This window comes from Homo sapiens, chromosome 22 (genome assembly GCF_000001405.40).
Source record: "Homo sapiens chromosome 22, GRCh38.p14 Primary Assembly".
Lineage (NCBI taxonomy): Eukaryota > Metazoa > Chordata > Mammalia > Primates > Hominidae > Homo > Homo sapiens.
Genome location: NC_000022.11, coordinates 21,300,991 through 21,326,989, shown reverse-complemented (window position 1 = coordinate 21,326,989; position 25,999 = coordinate 21,300,991). Strand labels below are relative to the sequence as shown.

Genomic DNA, 25,999 nt, shown 5'->3' with positions numbered 1-25,999 from the left:
TTAAATATAATATTATATATAAGGATGCAGGATGTAAAAGGAAATTATATATATGTTATATATTATATATATATAATTATATGTAATTATATATATATATTTGGGGGTGCCCTATTTCCTATCTCATAACTTATTTTAAGAAGCACAGCATAATAATTTGTGGACTTGGGATTCAGTTTTTGAAACGAAACACTGAGCCTTCGATGACCTTCCTGTACCTGTGAAAGCACACCTGTCTGCATGGCAGCAGTTGGACCTCACAGTGTGGATTGTGCCTTCACCCTGGAATGTTTATGCCCTATCGCCATGGTGATGGGATTAGGGATCTGCTGCCCTTGGTCCTAAGTGCCACTATCTGTGCTGAGTTTTTCAAAGGTCAGAGCAGATTGAACCTTTGTGGTTTCATTTTCCCTGATTTTGATTTTTCTTATGGGGAACCTGTGTGGCTGCATTCAAGGTATGTTCATACTGGCCTGTCAAATGCGATCTTTTCAAATTAGTAGTTAATGCTTTCAAAATATGTTATTTAAAAAATTAGCCTCTGTATTTTCCATATGCAGTTATAAATATGTTTCAAGATTATGTTTTATTCCTCAATTTATATATTTGATTATTGTACCAAGCAGAGTATCTTTGAAATTTTTCTTCATTTAAAAAATATGTATCTTGACTCAGGCCTGTAATCCCAGCACTTTGGGAGGCCAAGGCAAGAGGATCACAAGGTGAGGAGATCAAGACCATCCTGGCCAATACAGTGAAACCCTGTCTCTACTACAAATACAAAAAATTAGCCAGGCATGGTGGCAGCTGGTGTAGTCCCAGTGTGAATTGGGATTCAGTTTATTCCCAAATTCCCAAATTATATATATATAAAATATATATATAATATATTAAATATATTATATATATAATATATATTATATTATATATAATTTTATGTATATATATATTTGTGGGTTCCCTATTTCCCATCTCATAACTTATTTTAAGAAGCCAGCATAATAATGTGTAGGCTTGGGATTCAGTTTTTGAAACAAAACACTGAGCCTTTGATGACCTTCCTGTACTTGTAAAAGCCCACCTGTCTGCATGGCAGCAGTTGGACCTCACAGTGTGGATTGTGCCTTCACCCTGGAATGTTTATGCCCTATCACCATGGTGATGGGATTAGGGATCTCCTGCCCTTGGTCCTAAGTGCCACTATCTGTGCTGAGTTTTTCAAAGGTCAGAGCAGATTGAACCATTGTGGTTTCATTTTCCCTGATTTTGATTTTTCTTATGGGGAACCTGTGTGGCTGCATTCAAGGTATGTTCATACTGGCCTGTCAAATGCGATCTTTTCAAATTACTAGTTAATGCTTTCAAAATATGTTATTTAAAAAATTAGCCTCTGTATTTTCCATATGCAGTTATAAATATTTTTCATGATTATGTTTTATTCCTCAATTTATATATTTGATTATTGTACCAAGCAGAGTATCTTTGAAATTTTTCTTCATTTAAAAAATATGTATCTTGACTCAGGCCTGTAATCCCAGCACTTTGGGAGGCCAAGGCAAGAGGATCACAAGGTGAGGAGATCAAGACCATCCTGGCCAATACAGTGAAACCCTGTCTCTACTACAAATACAAAAAATTAGCCAGGCATGGTGGCAGCTGGTGTAGTCCCAGTGTGAATTGGGATTCAGTTTATTCCCAAATTCCCAAATTATATATATATACATATAAAATACATATATAATATATTAAATATATTATATATATAATATATATTATATTATATATAATTATATATATATATATTTGTGGGTGCCCTATTTCCTGTCTCATAACTTATTTTAAGAAGCCAGCATAATAATGTGTGGGCTTGGGATTCAGTTTTTGAAACAAAACACTGAGCCTTTGATGACCTTCCTGTACTTGTAAAAGCCCACCTGTCTGCATGGCAGCAGTTGGACCTCACAGTGTGGATTGTGCCTTCACCCTGGAATGTTTATGCCCTATCGCCATGGTGATGGGATTAGGGATCTTCTGCCCTTGGTCCTAAGTGCCACTATCTGTGCTGAGTTTTTCAAAGGTCAGAGCAGATTGAACCATTGTGGTTTCATTTTCCCTGATTTTGATTTTTCTTATGGGGAACCTGTGTGGCTGCATTCAAGGTATGTTCATACTGGCCTGTCAAATGCGATCTTTTCAAATTACTAGTTAATGCTTTCAAAATATGTTATTTAAAAAATTAGCCTCTGTATTTTCCATATGCAGTTATAAATATGTTTCATGATTATGTTTTATTCCTCAATTTATATATTTGATTATTGTACCAAGCAGAGTATCTTTGAAATTTTTCTTCATTTAAAAAATATGTATCTTGACTCAGGCCTGTAATCCCAGCACTTTGGGAGGCCAAGGCAAGAGGATCACAAGGTGAGGAGATCAAGACCATCCTGGCCAATACAGTGAAACCCTGTCTCTACTACAAATACAAAAATTTAGCCAGGCATGGTGGCAGCTGGTGTAGTCCCAGTGTGAATTGGGATTCAGTTTATTCAGTTTATTCCCAAATTCCCAAATTATATATATATATATAATTTCCTTTTACATCCTGCATCCTTCAACGTTCCATCCCCCACCCCACAGATTAAGTTATTCCCCAGGGGAGAATATGGCAAAGTCTATTTTAATGCAGTTTTTAACCCAATTAAGAACCTATGAAATCATTACTTTCCAAAACTTTGGAACAAAGCCACAGTAGTATGGATCCGTTGGAGGCTTTTCACACAATAAAATGTACCTCTCTTTGTTTTTAACATGTTTTTCCCTTCCTCTCTTCTTTTTTTGTGAAATGTGTATTTACTTTAATATATTTGTAGTAAGTCACTTCCATGCACATATTAATTTTTTAAAGTAATAAGTATGTGTATTGTCTACGTGTGAAAGAAAACACACATTTATTTTTATGCTTTGGAAGTTATCCAGAATCATGGAATTGTCAATCACAGTCAATCACCCAACCTACTCACCTTTCCAGTGTAATCTTAGTCAAATTTTTTTTTTGTTATCCAATGAGATGCAGTATTTCAACTCAGAAAGATAAATAGAGTGAATTTATAGAGACTATTAACTAAGAACATACAGTTTTATTTATACTCAGAAGCAAGTAGATTATGTACATATATATGAAGATAAAAATTAAAAGGATAATTGTGTAAATTTGCATGTAGAGGGCTTTGAAAACCTGTTTACTTGTGAATGCTGTTTTGATGTATTGTGTCTTTGTTCTCCCGACCCATCGTCCAGAGCTCTCTGCAGGAGCTAAGTGCTCATCAGTTCCATGACTTGGAAACTGTCTAAGTTTAGAGGCACTTGTATTTGTTAGTAAATAAGGCAAGATGATATTGTTTCACAGGTTTTAGTGCCGAAGACTGAATAGATAAGCTGCTCCACCCAGTACACTGGTGTTCATTTCATAGTCATCTCATCTGTTAACCATGGATATAAAACATTTATCTTCAATGATGGGGTTTTACCATGTTGGTCAGGCTGGTCTCGAACTCCTGACCTCAAATGATCCACCCACCTCCACCTTCCAAACTGCTGGGATTACAGGTGTGAGCCACTATGCCTGACTGATTATTTTCATAACCAAGAAAAGAAATAAATACAATTAATGCTGGTGCATGGTATTAAATCTAGTTTTTAAAAAATTCACACATAAACAAGGCAGAACCCTATACCCTCCATGATAAATGCAGTAGCAGTGTATGTGGGTCTGTGGAGGTTGAAAGGGACTTGGTAGATGTCAAGAAGCTAGTGGCAGTCCTGCTGGGCTTTTAAAGGGTCTGAAGAAGTGACAGGATGCTGTGGTTGAATCCTAGCATGTATTTTAGCATTTGTTCATTTGGAGTTGATTATTTCACGTTGCTTTCATTTGCCATTACCTGGAAAGCCAAGGGCTCTACTCTCATTTCCTTGCTGCTCTTTCTTTGCCTTCCTTGGTCCGTGAAGAAGATGGTCCAGGAGAAGCTCATTCCATGCCTGTTAACCAGGCACGCCCCTAAGTTCCAGTCCCTGAGTCATTCATGAGTAGCACTGCCAATGAACTGACAGCCATGCTGTGTCCCTCCACATCCCCTAGGTGACTCGAAGAAGCCTTCCAAAAAGCATGTGAAAAGGAAGCCCTACTCTACTACCAAGGTAAAGTAGCCTGTCTTTGCCTAAGATGTAAATGTTGTTTTCTTGGATCCTTTATTTTTCAGTTGATATCAGCTATGGGAAAATTCTCCACTACATTATAGGTGTTAGATAATATTTCCTTGGGGATGGAGGAGGTGTATTTTACCAACTGACACCTGATTCCAGAGGACGTGCAAAATTGGCAGTGTCAGATAGTACACTGGGTGTTAAGGGATGTTTTCTTCAGGAACAAGCTTTCCACTTTAGATAAGAATTCTGCAATTGCTACTCAAAAATTACCTAGACAGAAACATTCTTCAAGAAAAGCTCCTGTGCTTTCCTAAGGGAACTCTACTCTACAGTTGGGGCTTTTGACTTGAACCTTATTTCCAGTCTTGGTTACCCAGAGTTTCCAAGTGAACAAAAGACCTGTGTGAGCCATCCATAGCATAGCCTGATTCTCAGAGTGTTTTCCTTCTCTAATTACAGGTGACTTCAGGGAGCACATTCAATGGTACGTATTCTGGAATCACTCACTGGTTGTTAGAAAAGGATTCTACAGGAAATCTGGAGCTTAACTGCTGGCTTTTGTCTGGAGAGCCTCCATGATCCAAGACATCTGGTGGGAATGAGGATGTAGGGTATAGTAAAAGAAACTGGTTTTCCTGGTGACATACTCTTTTTATCTATGTATAGTTTCTGGGAACATGTTCACATTAGGTTGTGTGTGGGTATGTGTGTATTAGGGCGGGGGTGGGGTGAGGTGGTCTGTGTGCAAGTCTGCATGATTTGCTTGTGAATGTGTGTCTATGTGTGTTTCCCCTAGGAAAAAAATGTTGTGTTTACCCAGCACAACTCTCAGTGCCATTTTTCTTAATTTAACAAATCAGACCACATACTTTACTTACATTAGTTCACACCTCATCATCATCATGCCCATATGTTGTGAGCTTGTTTATTGAGCCCACATGCCAGATGGAGAAACTAAGCCACATAAATAAATGTGCCCTGGTTCACTTGCTGCATAGTGAAGAGTCAAAATGTTTCCTCATACAGTGCTAATGTTGAAGGCCTGAACTACAACCTCTATTTATCAGCCAGTGAAGAGATCACTATTCACCATGCAAGGGAGTTCCAGCACCCTCTATGCCTGGAATTACCCACACCTGCAGAGATCCCAAATGCCATCCCTCACATAAGACAGCCTCATGATCTCATAATCCAGGTAGCTATGTAGACATCTTCCTGCAGGTGTCACATAGTCCTTAGTGTGAAACCAACATAGAAAGCCCATGTTTCTGATCAAATCACAGGTTCTGAAACACTAAGGGAGGCACTAAGTAGGACAATGTGGTGCCTGCGTGTCATAGCTGGGTCTCCTCAAGACATGGATCAAGTCCAGTAAGAATTGGGGAGATGCTTTAGAGTCTTGATGGAGTTATCACCACAAGCCCTCTGAGCTACACACTTTAGGGATCATGACCATTAAGTACTCAAATTACCATTTGGTTGTTATCCGGGTATCCGTCGTCCTTGTGGCAACCCTCTTGTGAAGCTGGTGTGGACAGCCTCAGTGCTGGAGCTGTGCCTGCCTTCTGAGTGGACCCTTTCTGTGTTAGCAGGTGGGTACAAGCGTGGGGGTCAGCACACTCAGTGGATTTACACACACAGCGTTGAAGAGTAAGGCTGGGCTTCGTTATTTATACATTTTCAATAAATGATGATCTTCATAACATAAAATCAATGATGTAGTACACTAGAATACTGTCCCTAGTATTGAATCTTGTCTCTCAGCAAAGGGTTGCTTAAAGTCACGTGACAGATTCCATTCAACTGATGGCACATGCTGTAGCAGCAGTTAAAGCAGTCATTTGAAAAGGCTTTTACTATAAACTTACGTGTGAGCCTGAAGTGGGGGATAAAAGAGGCGATTAGCTCCCCTGTGCCATGTTTCTATTATGTGCGTGGTGGAGGAAAATTACACAGGAAGGTGATGGAGAGAACAGAGCAAAGGATTGGACAGGTCCATTGAACCCATAAGACTATGGTGTGGTTAGTGAATGAGATTGGTCATTTTAGGTCAAATTTTACCCAGAGCTGGTGCAGCCACTGCCCATTCTTAGCCAGACCTTATTGCAGGCAGCTCTGATCAATAGTCAAGGAGGCAGTGGGGCTTGCAGACTTAATTCATTAAATCACCAAAGCACCAGCCCACACGGCCACTTTTCCAGTTAATTGACAGTAGCTTGCATATTCAGGTTTGATCAGTGGAAGGGAAGTTACTCTTTGCAGACCCATCTTTTGACAATCATTTTGTGGTGTCGGAAGGTCTGAGCAGCCTCGGGAGGCAAGCAGTCCCTGGTCCCTCAGTGTAGTCACTGGAGGAGACAGTCACTGAGAGGCAGCTGGCAGGGTGAAGGGAAAGGGGAGGCAGGCCACAGAGATGACAGCCTTTAAGCTGTCATACTGGGAGGTCAAGGATCTGAAAGAGGAAGGAGAATTCTTTATCATTAAGGACCTGTCCTTATCTCAGGCATTTCCTCCAGAGCATCACCTTTGTCCACCCACACACCTTGGGCTAGGAGGACTGGAGAAAGACAGTGAGGGGTCTCTTGGGTCTCTGGCACAGGGCGTGATGAAGAGGTGGCAGTTTTTCAGGAATCTCTCTCTCTAGGGAACCAAATACATTTCCCATCTCAGGTCCTTCACTCAGCGGGGTTGAGGTTCTGCTCGTCACTTATCATCTCTGAATGTCAGCACCCTCAAGTGTAAAATCTCAGCCACAGCCCCTCCTCTGCACCCCCTGCAGGGCTGATGTTCTCCATAAACCATAAGGCGTCATGCCCACGGAAAAGCCGAACAGGAAAGCATGCTCCACTGCCCCGGAGTCATGCAAGTTCCCCCTCCATATTCCGCCACTGCTAAGTGTCCAGCTTATTCCTCCTGGCATGTAGTAAACACTTAGAGAACATTACTGAAGTACCAGTCCTCTCTAAGGTTTTCCTGTATTTAGTGATTTTTTAGCCCTGTACTGTGATACTAAGAAGTAGGGCTTAAATAGGGCCTAAAAAGTATTGCTAAAATTACATTATGACAGTGCAGAGAACTGAGGGCAGAGGGAGGACATGAGCTTGCCAGGTCCACATGGCTTAGTGGAATTTGAATCCGGGCCCCCACTCTGCACCAGCCCTGCACTCACAGTCATCCTGCTGTGTTCTCCTCTCCAGGAAGGCACTGCCCACGCAGTCTGTCTGATAGAGGTGTTGAGTGCTCACTGAACTCCGTGATCTTCCTGAAACCCAACTTTGATTCAGTGGGCTCTGCTTGGAAGCCTGTAAAGAAAAGGATCATAAGTTTAAACTTAGAACAGATTATCACTATTTTCCCTCTGGTCTTCTGTCAGCAAGATGTCAACAGCCCTATCTATTGTCAATGCATTAACCAGCATCTTCTCTGATAGAGAATACAAGAAGATATGCTGTGCACACCAACCAGTGTAGGAGACCTCATGGCTCCCGGGTAAAGAAGAAGAGGTACCCACAAGAAGGTACTGTGGAAGTTCATTAATTAAGTTGATTCAAGAATTGCAGTTGCGGGGAGTATTCAGTGTCCCATATGTAAGAGGAAACTATGAAGAGACTAAGCCATATTTTTTAATGTGTCAGGATTCTAATTTGCCTGGTCAGTAAATATTGCTACCACCACAAAAGTAAATATCTACTTAAAAGTCAATTTTGGTTCATGTTTAATGATAGACAATGTTTCAAGCTAATGTCTAGAACTTACCTGGTTGTTAAACATAAGCATAGATCTCCCTGAAAGAGTGGTGCTATATTATTATTTTTCAATTAATATATTTCTTTAGAGAGTTTTAAATTGACATAAAAACTGAGCATATGGCCGGGCGTGGTGGCTCACACTTATAATCCCAGCACTTTAGGAGGCCAAGGCAGGCGGATCATCTGAGGTCAGGAGTTGGAGACCAGCCTGGCCAACATGGTGAAACCCCATCTCTACTAAAAATCCAAAAAAATTAGCCGGGTGTGGTGGCAGGCGCCTGTAATCCCAGCTACTCAGGAGGCTGAGGCAGGAGAATCGCTTGAACCCAGGAGGCAGAGGTTGCAGTGAGCCAAGATCATGCCATTGCACTCCAGCCTGGGTGACAAGAGTGAAACTTCATCTCAAAATAAATAAATAAATAAATAAATACATAAATAAAAATTGAGTATATAATACACGAAGTTCCCATATTATTCTGTCTCCTCACCCTCACTTCCTAATTTCACCTATTAGTAACATCTTACATTACTGTGGTACATTTGCTAGAATAATGAGAAAATATTGACACATTATTATCTGAAGTCTACATTTGCATAATGTTCATTCTTTCTGTTATACATATATATGAATTTTGAAATATTTAAAACATTATGTTCACCCTTATGGTCTCATAAAGAAAATGTTCACTTCCCTAAAAATCCTCTCTTCTCATTAATCTCTGTCCTCTTTCTCCAGAAACCTTGGCAACTATTAATATTTTTACTATCGCTTCAGCTTTGCCTTTTCCAGAATGTCATATAGTTGGAATCATATATTATGTAGTTTTTTCAGATGAATTTATTGCACTAAATTGATGTACGCTTTAGCTGCTTTCATGTCTTTTTTATGCCTTAATGGCAAAAAATGGCACATTAAATCACCAAATAATATTGCATTCAATGAATTTTTGTCTTTTTATTCACCTGTTGAAGAATTCGGTAGATTTCATGAGAGAAACCATCTGGGCCTGGTGCTTTCTTTTTCGGAATGCTCTTAATGTGAATTCAACTTATTTAATAGACATAAGTTTATTCAAATTAGGATCCTAGCATGACCTTGGGAAGATTGCCTTTCAAGGAATTGATACATTTCACTGAGGTTATCAAACTGCGGTCATAGAACTGTTCATGATATTCCTTTTAATGCCTAACAGTTCAGTAGAGATGGCTCCTCTTTTATTTCTGAAATTGGTCATTTGTGTTATCTTCTTTTTCTTGGTTAGCCTGCATATCAATTCATTCATTGTAATGAGCATATCAAAGAACCAGCTTTTGGTTTTATTGATTTTCTGATGATTTCAGTGTTTTAATTTTATTGATTTCTGTGATGTTGTTTATTACTTTTACTTGCTTTCCATTGCATTCCTCTATTTTCTATAGTTCCCTAATTGAAACATGATATTACTGATTTTAGGTCTTGTGATTTTTAGTATATTGCATCCAATGCTATAGATTTCCCTCTAAGGACTGCTTTTGCTACATCCAGAAATCTTGCCAAGTCACATTTTCTTTTAATGTAGTTAAAAGTACTTTTAATTTTCTATTGAGACTTCTTCTTTAACCCATGAGTTATTTAAAAGTGCATTGCTAATTTGCAAATATTTGGGGATTTTGTGGCTCTTTTACAGTTGTTGATTTTTTGTTGTCAGGTATGTGTTGCAAAAGCAGTCGTCTACCTCATCTTGCCACCACCCAAGATGGCCCAGGATGTGGGCTCTCCCTGAGTGAATCTTTGGCAATCTGCCAACCTGATGTGTTCGGCCTCCTTCTTTAGTCTGAGCTTGCCTTCTGCTTAGAAAGGGCCATTCTCAGTTCTGGCAGGGAGTTTTCCCAACATTGAGAAGGTGGCATTCTTACTCCCCACTGCAGCCTGCACCTCTGACTGGTGGTCAGCAGACAGGACAGAGGTCCTCATCAGACAGAGTTCAGCAGGGTCTCTGACCAAAGTGCATCTTCAGAGTCTGCACCTACCCACTGTGACCACGGGCAGGCTCTGAGTCCTAAAGCAGGAGGAACTGTGCGACCATCCTGATTGGAAATTTGTGAGGATCACCGTGTTACTCAAGTAAGGTCTTTGGAAAGTGTCGTATTACTACTGTTTGTGAACTGCTTGTTGGTGGCCTGGCTGAGCCACACACTTTATGAAAACCAGGACCCCTCAGCTGGTGTGGGTGTCTATGCAGCCTGAGACCCTCATGTGAACAGCCTCGTGGCAGCTGTCTTTGCCCCTTGCCACCATCAGTGCCTCCTTGTTCCTGGGCACTGCTTTCTCTGATGGTGCTCCATTGTTTTCCTGCACCTCAGTGTCTACAGCTGGATGTCTCTTCCGCAATCTAGGCGAGGGGGCATCAACGGCAGTTCTGCTGTGGCACTGCCCTCCTTCTTAGCTTGTCTTGCTCTGTCTTAGGCTCCCTCAAAGATCCCACCCTTCAGGTTCTTCCACAAGTTTCTTATTGAAATCCGAGCAGAAAACTATGACCAATATGACCAATCCTATACCCACTGAAGACATGAATGAAGAATTAAAACAATTCTCCATGGACTCTACCATATAGATCCCTAGAAGTAATTTCTAAAAAAAAAAAAAAATCAAGGAAGATGTAATAGTTTTCCATAAATTAGAATACCCTACATGTACAATTAAATGAAATGGCTAGTATAGTCTTGAAACCAAAACCAGATAAGGTAAATTAAATTCTGTGATATTTTAAAATACTGTAAATTCTGACTAATGTGAGTTAATCTCAATATATGAAATAGTAGATTAACATTGAAAATGCAATAAATAAAATTAGCTACCTCAAGAGTTTAATGGAAAAAAATGTGATTATTGCAATAGATTCAGGAAATTCATGAATAACATTCACCCTATATTTGTAGGACAACTATCTAACTTTAAGTGACCTGTGACAACCATTTGAATTAATGCTGCTTTCACAGCATATCTCTTGGCTTGTTAAAAACCCGACAAGAATTTCCGTAACATTAATTTATTTTTAACACCTATATTGGGTGTGAACCCACCATAAAGTTTGCCCACTGAAAAGGTCTACAATTTGATGCTTTATTAAATTGATACTGTGTGCACCCATCACCACGATCTAATTTAAATATGTTTCCCTCACCCAAGTTCTCTCTTGCGCACTGGCAGTTAATCCCCACTCCCATCTCCAGCCCTAAGCAATACTGCTGTGACATTCCATCTCCATAAATTTCCCATTTGCTTAATAGAAATGGACATATATATATATTTGGAATCTGACTTCCTTCATTTAGCATACTATGTTTGAAGTTAATTGACGTGTTAGCACGTGCTGGTCATGTGTTTTCCTTCATAGTCTGCTGTGTTTACTCATACAGATAGTGTTTATTCATTTATCAGTTAATGGACATTTAATTGTTTTGTTATTTTCTTTGATGAGTAATGTAGCTTTGAGCATTCATATACAGTCATGTAATGCATAATGACATTTCGGTCAAAAAAAATTTTTTTTTTCTGAGACCCAGGCTGGAGTGCAGTGGCACAAACTCGGCTCACTGGAACCTCCACCTCCCAGGTTTAAGCAATTCTCGTGCCTCAACCTCCCGAGTAGCTGGGACAACTGGCACACGCCACCATGCCTGGATAATTTTTGTATTTTCAGTAGAGACAGGATTTTGCTGTGTTGGTCAGGCTAGTCTCAAACTCCCAGCCTCAGGTGATCCACCCATCTCTGCCTCCCAAAGTGCTGGGATTATAGGCATGAGCCACCACACCCAGCCTAATTTTTTTAAGAAACAAGGGAACTATTTTCTAAATTACTTTTGCCAATTTATATTTCTACCATGATGCATAGCACTAATTTCACCGTACAATGTATGGTAGGCCCCAATATGTAAGAAATGATGAAAATAACACATAAAGATTGGTATAAAACAAATAAGATTATCATTGTTGCTATCATCTTTGTCAAATTCTGAAAACAATCTGAGTATATTTTTATATAAATATGCTTGGCAACATAGCTGAAAAACGCATTATCAGTTACATTTATCAGTAACAAAGACATAAATTTGAAGGGGGAACAACACTTGTACTAACAACGCAATGTCAGAATTAACATAAAAATTCTGCTGGTCACTTTGGAATATTTAATTGCCTGGGGCAGTGTTTAGTAGACAAATGAGCATCTATGGAGCACTCAAAGTAGGGGAATCAACAGAACTTGGGTTTGAAAAGTTATCTGGGTTTAGAGCGTGAAACTTTGTTAGAGGACACGCACCTTGCATGAGCGAGGTGCCCTGGTGTGTGTGGACGTACCATTATGCTTGGAGGTACAGCATAATGGTGGCTTCCTCCAGAAAGGGACATTTGGGATGGATTCATTCCATCTAGACAACACAGCCTGATGTGGCATGGACATGAATGGAGGTGAAATGGTCAGTAGTTGAGAGGATCAGTCCTGACAAGGGCCGAGGTGAAAAACCTGGGAACCCCTTCAGGTACAAAGTCTTCAGTTGAAAAAGGAGGTGGTCACAGGAAATACTGAGACAGGACAGCAAAGCATGGGAGACAGAGTTCTTGGCCCTGCAGGGTGAGTAGTGTGGATTCTCAAGTTTTCTCCTCTCTCCATTAATTTCTTTCCCAATGCAGATGACTTCCATCATACAGTCTTCAGCAACCTTGAAAGATTGGACAAGCTTCAGCCCACTCTTGAAGGTAAAGGAAGGCAGCTAACAAGACTGGCATGTGGGCTTGGCTGTGCGTGTTTTCTATCGTGGGGAAATATATATAACACAATATTTATCATTTGAACCTTTTAACCAAAGTGTGCACTCCATGGCATTCAATATATTCACAGGGTTGCATAACCAACACCACTATCTACACCCACAATTTTGATGATTTCTTACGAAACCTTGTCCACAATAAGCAGTATAGCACCTTCCCCCTATTTCCAGCCCATGGTGATTCCTATCCCACTTTCTCTTGTATGAATTTGACTATTCTAGGCACTTCATGTAATTACAATTATACAATATATTCCTTTTGTGTCTGGCTTATTTCACTAAGCATAATGTTCTCAATGTCCACCCATGTTGTATCATCTATCAAAATGATGTTCGTTTTTTACAGATGGATGATGTAGCATTGCATGCAGACCACCTTGCTTTTATTACATTCATTTGTTCACTGATGGTTGGATTATTTCCACCTTTTGGCTCCTGTGAAAAGTGATGCTACAAACATTAGTATACAAACATCTGTTTGATTTCTGTTCTCTATTCTTTGGGGTGCCTAAGAGTAGAGTTCCTGGGTCCAACAGGGGTTCTATATTTAACCTTCTGAGCCACTGCAGACTGTTTTTCACAGTGGCTGCAACTTTATCCATTTCTACCATCAATGTATCAGGGTTACAATTTCTTTACGTCCTTCTTCACACTTATTTTCCTTTAAATCATCCTAGTAGGTGTATATTGGTGGCTGCTTGTGTTTTTCATTTGCATTTCCCTAATGACTAATGATCCTGAGCAGCTTTTCCTGTGCTACTATCTGTGGCTGTATCTTCTTTAGGGAAATATATGTTGAAGTCTTTTGCCCATTTTTAAAGAGTTGTCTGATTTTTATTTAGTTAGTTTGTTGTTGTAGATTTTTGAATATATCTTAAATATATTTAAAATATATTCTAAATTTTAGTCTCTTACAAGAGAAATGATTTGCAAATATTTCCACCTTTGTGTAGAACTTTAGATTCACAAACTTCGTTAATTTGTATGAAATCCTCAGCAGTTGACCCCAAACAGATAAGACTGAAGCAGTATTTTAGGAATAGTTGAAAGTATGATCACCACAAAACATAAGCGTAATCAAATCCTGCAAGCTACATGTAAGGCACAATGACAAATAAGGCAGCAAAGGGCCATCTGGTGATTAGTTCACCACACTTGTTGCAACTGTTTGCGCTGCAGAGTTAAAACACACCAGCATTCAACCCGTGTCTCCTCTCTTGAAGTAAACTGTCGTATGTTGGCTGGCCTGAACAAGCGTAGATATTCTCCATCCTCAATTAATATGCATGCATGACAAAGAAAAGGAGGCCTGGATGAAAAAATATTGTGTGATTAATAATTATGCTTTAATTAATTTTAAAGGATATAATTTCAGTACTTCTAATTCTCCCATCAGCAGTTATAACAAAGGATTAGTGAATAAATACCATAGACTGTTTTGCCTAGAATTGAATCCAATCTATCTATTAAACTTTGCTTTTATTCAAGTGCAAAATGCTAAAACACATAACTGCAGTGACAGCCACTGTGGATCCTCAGAGGTAAAAGTAGTCTTGGGACATAAATCCTGCAAGCTAATATTGTTTTTACAGGTTTAGAAAACCATTTAGCTGGGTTTCAAACCTCACAGTGTGAGCAGTGGGACTCTCATCAAACTATAGCATGTGCTTCAGTACCATTTGTAGACTGACTCATTCCCATTTTCTTAAGTTGCCATCAGCAAAATGCCAGGGACTCTATTTCTTGCTCCTTAGCTCCTCGTTCTTGCCTGTCTTTCCACGAGGGAAGATTTTCTAGCAGGAGCTCAAGCTGTGCTTTTAATGAAACACATCCACACACACTGTCCTGTTGTCCACATTAAGCAGAGCTCCCTGAATAACTCATGAACAAAAGCATCTATGACTAACTGTTGCTCTGTGTCCTCCTAGCCTCTGAGGAGTCTCTAGTTCACAAGGACAGAGGAGATGGAGAGAGGCCAGTCAACGCGAGGGTAAGGTTGCCTTGCTTTCTCTGAAATAGAAATGTTCCTTTCTTGGTGTCTTTCTTTTTCAACTGACTTTACATGTGAAAAAATGACAATGTCCATGACAGGTATTAAATGCAGTTTTCTGAGGGGGAGGAAGAAGTGACTCTTAGCAACTGATATGTAATCCAAAATGGCATTTAGCTATGACGGCTTCAGGTTGTAGACTGTATCCTTGGGGTCCTTGTCCTTGGAAGCAATGTCTTCTCCTTGGATTCAGGATTTTGCACTTGCCAACCTACGTGGACCTGAGAGATCCACCATCCAGAAGCTGATGTCTTTTCCAGTGTGTATCCTACCCTTGTTTTGGAGGCCTTGAAGTTGACTACACTTTCTGATCAAGTTTTCAGTATTCATTGAGAGAAACAGAGCCTTGTGCAAACAATCCACAACATGACATACCCCTGAAAAAGCTTTGTTTCTGTATTGCAGGTGGTGCAGGTGGCCCCTCTGAGGCTTGAATCTAGTAAGTATTCTGGAATCACTTGCCAAGAAAACAATCTGGATGCCAAGAAAGGTGTGGCATCCTTGCCTGGTTTCAATGTGAAGAGCCTCCCTGATCCTGGGATTGTGATAGGAATAAGTATAGGGGAAGTGTTTTTTTAAAACCTGAATTCCCCAGGGAAAAATTATGGCCAAATTTTGAGGAAGCAGCTGTGCTCCCTTTTGGGTGGTGCTGAGTTGGGTGCTTGAGGATTGGTGGTGTCTTGTGTGAGGCTGCATCGTGTGGTGTGAATGTGTGTGTTTCTGTACAGGTGAGGCTGTGTGTTTTCTCAGGAGAGATTTCCCACTTATACAACCCAATCACCAGTGTCCACTTCTAACAATAAAATCCACCCCCGCTCTACTCTCTCTGTACAGTGACTCCTCCACCCTCACCAGAGCCATCCCCGGGTCTGCCTTATTATCCCCACTGCTCAGGTGGAGAACGTGAAGGGCCAAGGGAGTGGCCCCAGCTCCCGAGTTCCTGAATGAAACAGTGAAAACACGAACCCAGGAGTGTGGACCAGTGCTGACGCTGACATGCACTTAGTCATGGGGTGTTCACCACCACACACGGAGTCCAGCATTCATGTATAAGCCCTAAAGCAACGAGCCCAAGAGGCCCCAGACACTGCCCATCATCATAAAGTGGCCTCCGTGGTCACACAACCCAGGGCAGTTATAGGCTCATCTCCCCACGGACCGGCATAGTCATCAGTGTGTCAAAAGCACAAAGATCCCCAGGTGTTTGGCTCAGCTCACAGATCCCTTTTTTTATTTAACTTTTCAGTTCAGGGGTACATGTGCAGGATGTGCAGGTTTGCTACATATATAAATGTGTGTTATGAGAGTTTGTTGTACAGATTATTGCATCACCCATATATTGAGCCTAATATCAGTTATTTTTCCTGATCCACCCCCTCCTCCCACCTCCCACCCTCCAGTAGGCCCCACGCTCACAAATTCTAAGAGGAGTGGGGGACCACAAAGGCCAGTGTGGCCCACTTCAGTTGTGAAGTTAATTTGCTCAGCAACTGGCCAAAGTCTATAAGGATGGGTGATGTATTTTAGTAGATTTAGTAATACTATCTTCCCAAGCCCTAAAATGCTCAAATCCTGCCAGCCAAAAATGGTGAGGAGGGACAGATAGGAACTCTGTGTGGCACTTGGTTATTAGCCTGGCTTCCATCCCTTAGTGGCAACTCTCTTGTATATGTGGGTTAAAGACCCTCAGCCTCAAGCCAAGCCTCCTCCATGAGGAGCCATCTCACTATTGACCGGCTAGTGCCGGGTATGGCCACCAGCCCAACTGAAACAAAATGTTGCTTTAAAACACGTGTAAATCTCATACATACAACAGGCAAATGCAGAAGCAGTGTGGTCTCGCAAGTTGTAAAGAGGACAGTCGCAATTTTGCTGGACTTCAACCTGGGTAGAAGACATGAGGGAACTCTGTCACTAAATCACGGCAGAGTTCAAGGCCACTTGTAGACTATTTCATGTTACAGAAGGTGGCCTTTAGCTACTAAGCAAAGGCCTCTGTTTCTCATTTCTTTCCTGTTCATCTTCTTGGTCATCCTTCTTCCGCAAGGGAAACGAGCCCAAGCAAAAGGCAGTTTCAATATTAATTTGACCGAGGTTTTGTGCAGTTTATTATCATCCGGGTAATCAGGTGCAACCCAGTCTGCCTAGCAGCCCCCCTATCTCTGCTCTGTGTTTTCATTTAATAAACATTTTGGTCTACTTACTATGTGCTAGATTTTCTCGAGACCAAGTAAATGAGATAGAATCTTTATGCTGGCAGCTAAGTTAGATTTCACATAACTGACAAAAATTAAAATTTCTGATTTCTTGTAAAAATATTTTGTATGTGTGAATGCATACTGAATGTAAAGTGGATAAAAAACTCACACTTGCACTCATGGAAGGCTTTTCATGAATTTGTCAATTTTTATTTTTTATATTTCCCCACTTCACCAGATAATGCATACCTGAACCTGGAAACTGATTCCCACTGCAGAAAGTGTTCTGAGCCACATCCCTTAGCTTCACTAGTGCAGGTCCACCTGGGAGGATGTCCCAGCATCAGCTTGACCCATGCTGTGATCAGCCACCTCCATACATCACACCAAGCAAGCCCCTGGGTGATTCACAGTCTCCACCACCAGGGCACTGACCTTAACTCTGTGTTTTTCTAGCTCCCCATGAGGACACCGTACACGACATCACTAACGAGGACGCCACACACGACATCGCTAACGAGGATACTGTACACGACATCGCTAACGAGGCCGCCGACAAGGGCATCGCCAACGAGGACGCCGCCCACGGCATCGCCAACGAGGACGCCGCCCACGGCATCGCCAGCGAGGACGCCGCCCACGGAATCGCCAGCGAGGACGCCGCCCACGGCATCGCCAGCGAGGACGCCGCCCAGGGCATCGCCAACGAGGACGCCGCCCAGGGCATCGCCAAGGAGGACGCCGTCCACGGCATCGCCAACGAGGACGCCGCCCAGGGCATCGCCAACGAGGACGCCGCCCAGGGCATCGCCAAGGAGGACGCCGCCCAGGGCATCGCCAACGAGGACGCCGCCCAGGGCATCGCCAAAGAGGACGCCGCCCAGGGCATCGCCAAGGAGGACGCCGCCCAGGGCATCGCCAACGAGGGCGCCGCCCAGGGCATCGCCAAAGAGGACGCCGCCCATGGCATCGCCAACGAGGACGCCGCCCAGGGCATCGCCAACGAGGACGCCGCCCACGGAATCGCCAGCGAGGACGCCGCCCACGGCATCGCCAGCGAGGACGCCGTCCAGGGCATCGCCAAGGAGGATGCCGCCCAGGGCATCGCCAACGAGGACGCCGCCCAGGGCATCGCCAACGAGGACGCCGCCCAGGGCATCGCCAAAGAGGACGCCGCCCACGGCATCGCCAACGAGCTGTATACGACATCGCTAACGAGGACACCCTACAAGCCGTCGCTAACAAGTACACTGTACACAACATCGCTAATGAGGGCACTGTACAAGACATCACCAATGAGGGCGCTTTATACGACATTGCTAATGGCACCGACAAGGCACGCTAACGTGGACGCTGTACACGACATTGCTAATGAGGACAGCGTATAAGACATCGCTAGTAACTATCGCAAGAACAAAAAACCAAACACCGCATATTCTCACTCATAGATGGGAATTGAACAATGAGATCACATGGACACAGGAAGGGGAATATCACACTCTGGGGACTGTTGTGGGGTTGGGGGGGGAGGGATAGCATCGGGAGATATACCTAATGCTAGATGATGAGTTAGTGGGTGCAGCGCACCAGCACGGCACATGTATACATATGTAACTAACCTGCACAATGTGCACATGTACCCTAAAACTTAAAGTATATATATATAAAAAAAGACATCGCTAGTGAGCACGCTGTATACGACATCGCTAATGAGGACACCATACAAGGCATCGCTAACGATGACGCTGTACACAACATCACTAATGATGACACCGTATAAGACATCGCTAATTATGACGCTGTATACGACATCGCTAATGACACCGTACAAGGCACGCTAACGAGGATGCTGTACACGACATCACTAATGAGGACAGTGTACAAGCCATCACTAATGAGGACACTGTATATGGCATCGCTAACGAGGACACTGTACAAGGCATTGCTAACGAGGACGCTGTACACAACATCGCTAATGAGGACACCATATAAGACATCACCAATGAGGATGCTGTATATGACATCGCTAATGGCACCCACAAGGCATGCTAACGAGGACGCTGTAGACGACATTGCTTATAAGGACACCGTACAAGACATCGCTAACGAGGACGCTGTATACGACATCGCTAATGAGGACGTTGTATATGACATCGCTAATGAGGATGCTTTACAAGACATAGCGAATGAGGTTGCTGTATATGACATCGCTAATGAGGACATTGTATATGACATCGCTAATGAGGACGCTCTATACGACATCACTAATGAGGACGCTGTATACAACATCGCTAATGAGGACGCTGTATATGGCATCGCTAATGAGGATGCTGTATACGAATTCGCTAATAAGGACGCTGTATATGACATTGCTAATGAGGACACTGTACAAGACATCTGTAAAAAAGAAGATGCTGCCAATGTAAGACACTTTTCTTTGTCTTGAACAGAAATGTTACTTTCCTGGCTTCTTTCCAATCAGATGTAGGCATGAACATCTGCCAGTGTGCATTATCGATGTCATCTGCAGTTTAATCAAATGTAGACATGAACATCTGCCAATGTGGACTATTTATGACATCTGCAATTCCCTTGGTGTGGTGCTATTGATTGGCAGCCTCTCACCAACCCATGCCAGGCACACTGGGGTGTGGTAGATGGCAGCATCCACGATCCACTGCAATGCAGAGGTGTTTCCCTCCACAGCAGTTTTCCCCCATGGATTAAGAGTTGTGAAACTGCCAATCTAGATACACTTTAAAGATAAATTCTGTGGGAAAAGGTCTTGTCTTTTCCACAGGTGTCTTCCGTGCCAGTTTTGGGGGACTTCGACCTTTGACTCAATCACTATACCCCTTCCTATTTTCTCTCTCAAGTTGTCGAGAGACTATCAGATCTGTGTGACGTGTATGGCATCATTTCACCCTCCTAATGTTTTCTTTTCTATAATTGCAGGAGCCATTGACACTGGAGAATGATACGTACCCTGAAATAACTCACTTCCTGAGGAAAAAGCGCCATCTCTAGGGTACAGAAACCTGATTCTGGGCTCCTTTTGGGAAGGAGGATTTGGGGTCTGGTGAGAGCAAATGATTTTGCAAGTATAAAACCATGTCCAGAGAGGCTGTAGGGATATCTGTGAGCCCAGAGGAAACACCAGGGGATCCTGTGCGAAGCACCATGGCTTCAGCTAGGGTGGGAGGAGTGGGTGGGCCTCTCTCTAATGACTTATCCTGGTGTTTGTGTTTCTAAAGATTTGATTGTGGAGAGCATATCTGATGATGGGGATTTGTAGGTAGGTAACTGCTTTCCACGTAAGATCCAATTGGAGAGAGTTCCCAGGGGCCTTCGGGGTATCCATGCTGCTTGGGAGGTTAAGGGAGGGGGCATGAAATCAAAACGAAACAGGAAATATGTGTCATATTGGATTTGGTCTTTTCCGGGTTTATTGGCATAATAGTTGGAACTGTCTCTCTGGGCTATGAGGGTGCTGTGTTATTTAAAGGTGGTCTTTCCCAGAACACCTGGCCTTTTCTTTTCTGCCTCTGCCAAACATCACAGCCTTTGGGTTGGATTAGTCAGCACCCCTTGGGATTGTGCAGAAGAGGTTTGGGGTTGCATCGAGTGTCACCTGTGGTGAACAGAATCTGAGGGACACAACTCTCTCACAGGCACTTCCTCCAACCTGGAGACAGAGTTCTCCTGGTGTGTGCCCAGGGGTGGAGGAGAAATTGACAGTCTGCCTCTGAACTTTCAGGACTTTAAAAAGCACTCATGTTTCCATCCTCACTGTTGACTCCTGGCTTAAAGGGATCTCCCGGGGTGAGTGAGGAGGCGGGATCGGACCCTGGCAGTCTGACGGCAGCACCTGTGTTCCTCTGCACTGGGCCGTGGATGACATTACACACCTTGGTGAGAATCAGGAATTGAGGCTAACCACATCTGAAATTGAGATGGGCCTTGAGTCATATAAATAGTTTGGAAAAGATGCATTTTACTACGCTATTGAAAGAAACCATTTATTTCTCACTCCAGCAGGATAAATGGTTTTCAGTATCCATTTAACTGCTCATTGACTCTTACTGTAGATGAGGAGGTGGCCAGCAGCCCCTGCCCTCCCCCAGTTGGTAGGCCCAAGGTAACCAGCAATTGACTGGATATAATGGAAGAGTGGTGCATTCGGAGGTATCTGTATTAATGGGACCCACATGATATGGATGAGAGCTATTAGGGTGAGAAAAAGCCTGGGAGCACAATGAAATATTTAAATATTAAACAAAACATTGTTGAAATCTCCATTGTACTTTAGTAGTTGAAGTCATTCTTGTGGTCATCACTGCCTTTCCCAAGCATAACAAGCTACTTAATATCACATGGACCCGTGCCATGAGGAATGATGATCAGTTTGTAAAATGCCAATAAAACAATTGCCTATATAAGCCACAATGTTTCATCCATATATTTCAATTTCCATGTGTAAGTATAGTTCAAATTTCAGAAATTTATTATTATCTAATAGAATATGCATGGTATATCAATGAGCAATTATCATACTGTTTCTATTAACAATTATTTGTATGATGAAAAAAGCAGACTCCCATTCTTGGATTTTTCTCAGTTTGCACACATTAGCATGACAGCCCCATTTCCACCTGACATGTGCCAGCAAGAGGCCAGGAACAGAGGCTTTTCTTATTAACTAAGATTTCTAAATGTATTACGTATTCACATTTAGAAACTCTAAATATCATAAAAGGTTAGCAAGGAAGTTTCCCTTCCACTCTGAACTTCCAAACACCAAGTCAACATTTTTGTTTGCATATCATCCCTGCAATCTATGTGCAAATAGAAGCATGCACCTGGAATGCAGGCTGATGTGTGATCGTGTTTACACAAAGTCCTCTGCACCTCTGCATATATCACTGGGCAATGCACCTTAGTTATCATTCCACATTTCAAATGTAAATCCATTGTATTGTTTCAGAGCTATAAAGTACTGCACCCCATGACTATTCCCAAAATTACTTAAGCACCCCGCTATGGGTATCCATTTGTTCTGTTTCCAGTCTTGCTCTTATAACCAATGCTGTAGTGAACAGCACTGTGTTGAGAAGCGGTGAACGTGGGCATCTTTGTCTTGTTCCCTTCCTCAGGGGGAATGCTTTCAACTCTCCCCCATTCAGGAAAATGTTGGCTGTGGGTTTGTCATAGATAGCTTTTATTACCTTAAGGTATGTCCGTTCTACGCTGATTTTGATGAACGGTTTTAATCATAAAGAAATGCTGGATTTTGTCAAAGGCTTTTTCTGCATCTATTCAGATTATCATGTGATTTTTGTTTTTAGTTTTATTGATGTGATGTATCACATTTATTGACTTGCGTATGTTAAACCATCCCTGCATCCCTAGTATGAAACCCACTTGAATCATGGTGGATTATCTTTTTGATATGCTGTTGGATTCAGTTAGCTTGGTTGTAGCATTTCTTATTATTCCATCTGTGGAATGTATTGGTTGAAATAATGAAAACATGTTCTATCCTCACTGCTTAGCACTTTGTGTTTCTTTAATAGCCTTCCCAACAGGGCAACATAAAAGCAGGAGCCCTGCTAGTCTCCCCTTAACCCGGAATCCCCCCTTCTCCACAGCTCGCTCATTGGACAGGATAGACTGGGCGCCCAGGCTTCAAGGTAAGGACGTGCTCTGTCACCTAGAGGTGCAGTGCTTGGGAAGGCCAACCTTGGAGGGTTGCCTGCCAGCTTTACAGTGACAGAGGTGTTGAGAGGGACTGACCACCAGTGCATAAGGCTGTGCTTTGTTGGTGACATAAAGGATTGTTTCACAGATTGTTGGGGAGGGACAATCCCAAGGCCTCCCCTGGCCCTGGTGCTGGCTCTGCACAAAGGCAATAAGAGAGGGATGCTGGTAAGGGCTGACCTGTTGCTGTGCTGGGGAGGAAGGTGCTGGGCTGAAATTCAGGAGGCTGAGGATGCAGCAGTCCCATAGGAGGTACATGACCTTCAGGATACATTTTCTTCATTGATGATCAATGGAAATGAGAAATCACTGACTATTTTTTCTATCATTGGAATCTACTCTCCACTGCTCATGCTGTTCCTGTCTTTTGGGGAAGATGGAGGATCAATCAGTGTGCACTGCACTGAGTGGAAGGAAGGAGAACTGTGACAAAAATTAAGGAAGGATGAGAGACGGGAGGGCCCTTCATCCAGCTGCTTGCAGAGTCCTCCTGAGGAGGAAAGCCCCGTGGCTCCCTGGAGAAGGAGCATTGAGGGCTGCGTGACTCCCACAGTGAAGTGTGTGGTATGTCTGAGGACACCCAGGCTGGTGGTCCATGAGGAGCCAGTGGCAGAGTGAGAAGCAGAAAGGCCAGGAGGGTGGCTGGAGGCCAGGCTCTGAGTCATTCTCCATGTGATGGAAACAGCCGGAGCCCAGTGGGCTTGGAGGTACAGGATGCGGTGGCTGATGACAGAACAATGTGGAGAGAGGCGTCATTTGTCAAATCCTTACTTTGTTCTGGGCATTGTGCTAAAAATTCTGATGGCTCATCCCATTTAGGGGCTGAAAGTTGCAGAGGTTTAGGAAGCTCACCCACGATACTGGAGCCCCCATCTCCTGCCCTAGTGCTGTCCACCTTCTCACCCAGCCACCACCTGTTTCGGGGGAACACACAGAAGTGGTAACCTCTTATGGAGAGGCAAGTAAATTCTGCTGTTTTTGTTATTCACAGAAAAACACTGGCTCGTGTGGGTTGGGAAGGTGAAATACCAGAAGTATTTCATCTGGTTATTTCTACCCATGCGACTCCTATAGTATTGAAATGCATAGGTTAGCATTTTTGGCCAATTTACTCAGCATTCTGGGTTAAAGGCTTTTACTTATTTTATTTATTTATTTATTTATTTATTTTTGAGATGGAGTTTCACTCTTGTTGCCCAAGCTGGAGTGCAATGGTGCGATCCTGGTTCATTGCAACCTCCGCCTCCCAGGTTCAAACTATTCTCCTGTCTCAGCCTCCCAAGTAGCTGAGATTATAGGCACATGCCACCACACTGGGCTAATTTTTTTGTATTTTTAGTAGAAATGAGATTTCACCATGTTGGTCAGGCTGGTTTCGAACTCCTGACCTCAGGTGATCTGCCCTCCTCGGCCTCTTAAAGTGCTGGGATTACAGGCGTGAGCCACCACGCCTGCCCTAAAGTCTTTTAAAATTCACTTGTATAAGTTGACTTAGTTTTCTTTAACCTTGTAGAAAAATACAAAAATGGCAATCTCTTTTATCACACAAATAATGTCTTTTTAATGGAGTGATTTTTTTCTAATTGAGGTATTATGTACTTTTCATTTACTAATTATTGTTTACATTTGAAGTGTTTTATGAATTAATATTTAATTGCATAGATGAAGATTACTAGTTATAGGCATTTTACTAACCAATACTCATTAAGCATAGCGTGGATTCCTATGACATCAAGGAGCTATTTTATTTGGTAAAACGAAAAAGCACAAGAATGAACGAACGCAAGAACTGAAACAGTGGAGACACCTAGAATGACTTGTCTAAGATCTAAATCATTTTGTTGTCTTCCCAGCGTACTTATTATCCTGATCATTGTCATCAGCATTGTTTGGGTCCTTTTAGCACAGATTTCTCAAAATGGGTAACTCCATAACAGTTGGAAGCTTACGAATTCATATAATTTGTAAGAGGTCAATTTGGGAGTACCTATCTATTTTAAAATTCCAATAACCTGGGAATTTCATCCCATGTCTAGAGTCTTTTATGTAAAATATTTCCACAATTAGGAGAAATATGTGCATGGGGATTTTCTATGTAGCGGTGTTTTGATGGAATAGAAAATTGGGATAAACCAAATTTCCATCACGAAGGAAATAGTAATATGCTGAATAATAATACAGCGAATATTATGCAGGCTTTAAACATCAAAAAAGAGTTCAACTTCTGACTTCCGATGATGGTGTTGAAGCAGGTCACTGCTGGTTTACATTTGATTTTCATGTGGGAACTCTGGAAGTCCGCCTTAGTGATTTTACATGTGGCTAAATTGAGCTAATGACAAGCTGTTCGCAGTATGGCAAAATGGAACTTTAAAACAGTATCTTGTCAACAACCAAGAGGACCTGTTTCACATAAAGCCCACGCATTCATCTGCCTGTCCATCATTCTGTCTGTCCACACGGGCATCATTCGTTAGTGGAACTGAGTGCCCGCTGTCGAGCTGACAAGCCCATAACCTCCCTGTTCCTAGTCACACATTAATTCTTCAACAAGTCCCTTTTGATAGATTGTGATTAAGCTTAGCTACTATTTCCAATTGCTTCCCCAAACGTACTTCTCACTGTTCTCCCATCACACCCTTCAGCCCATCCATGCGGGGTTCCTTTGCTTTTCCCACCTTACACCAAACTCCCTATTTTTACTCCCACTTTTACCTCCTCTCCCAGACAAAACAAACAAAACTAGCATTTTAAAACTTAGTTGTAATCTTTCTTCCTTCATGAAAATTTCTCCAACAGCCACTCCCACGGTCCTGTGTGTTCCGGATATTTTAAAATAATGGCTATAAGGTTGAGCACTTCAGGATACGCTGTTTTGCTGTGTGCAGATGGAGGCAGTGGCTGGAGTGAATGAACGGCAACACTTGCTGGCAACCGGCAGAAGCTGAGAGACAGGGAACAGGCTCTCCTCCAGAGCCTCCAGGAGCCAGGCCTTTGGCCACCTTGAATGTGGGCTTCTGGGAGACCATGCGTTTCTGTTATAAGCAGCCCAGTCTCTGGCAGTTTTTACGGCTGCCCCGGAACACTCATCTATACCTGTCTGACAAGGTCAAGCTCCAAGGAAGGGACTCTCTACATATCTACATTGTTTGCAGATTTTACAATAATCATTTATTCTTGCATGGCTGATCATTGTTAACCAATACAAATAAAATAATAAAGAAATGACCCAC

At 42.4% G+C, this 25,999-nt stretch overlaps 1 long non-coding RNA gene across 1 annotated transcript; it reads left to right on the top strand.

The window, feature by feature from the left end:
• The first annotated feature begins 353 nt into the window (after positions 1–353).
• On the top strand, positions 354–25,999 carry FAM230H (family with sequence similarity 230 member H). The gene is made up of 12 exons (NR_136559.2): positions 354–457; positions 4,136–4,194; positions 4,663–4,687; positions 7,634–7,720; positions 12,625–12,690; positions 14,690–14,751; positions 15,217–15,250; positions 17,466–19,431; positions 19,965–20,037; positions 20,264–20,304; positions 20,767–20,921; positions 25,566–25,999. It is a non-coding gene; the product is annotated as a family with sequence similarity 230 member H (long non-coding RNA).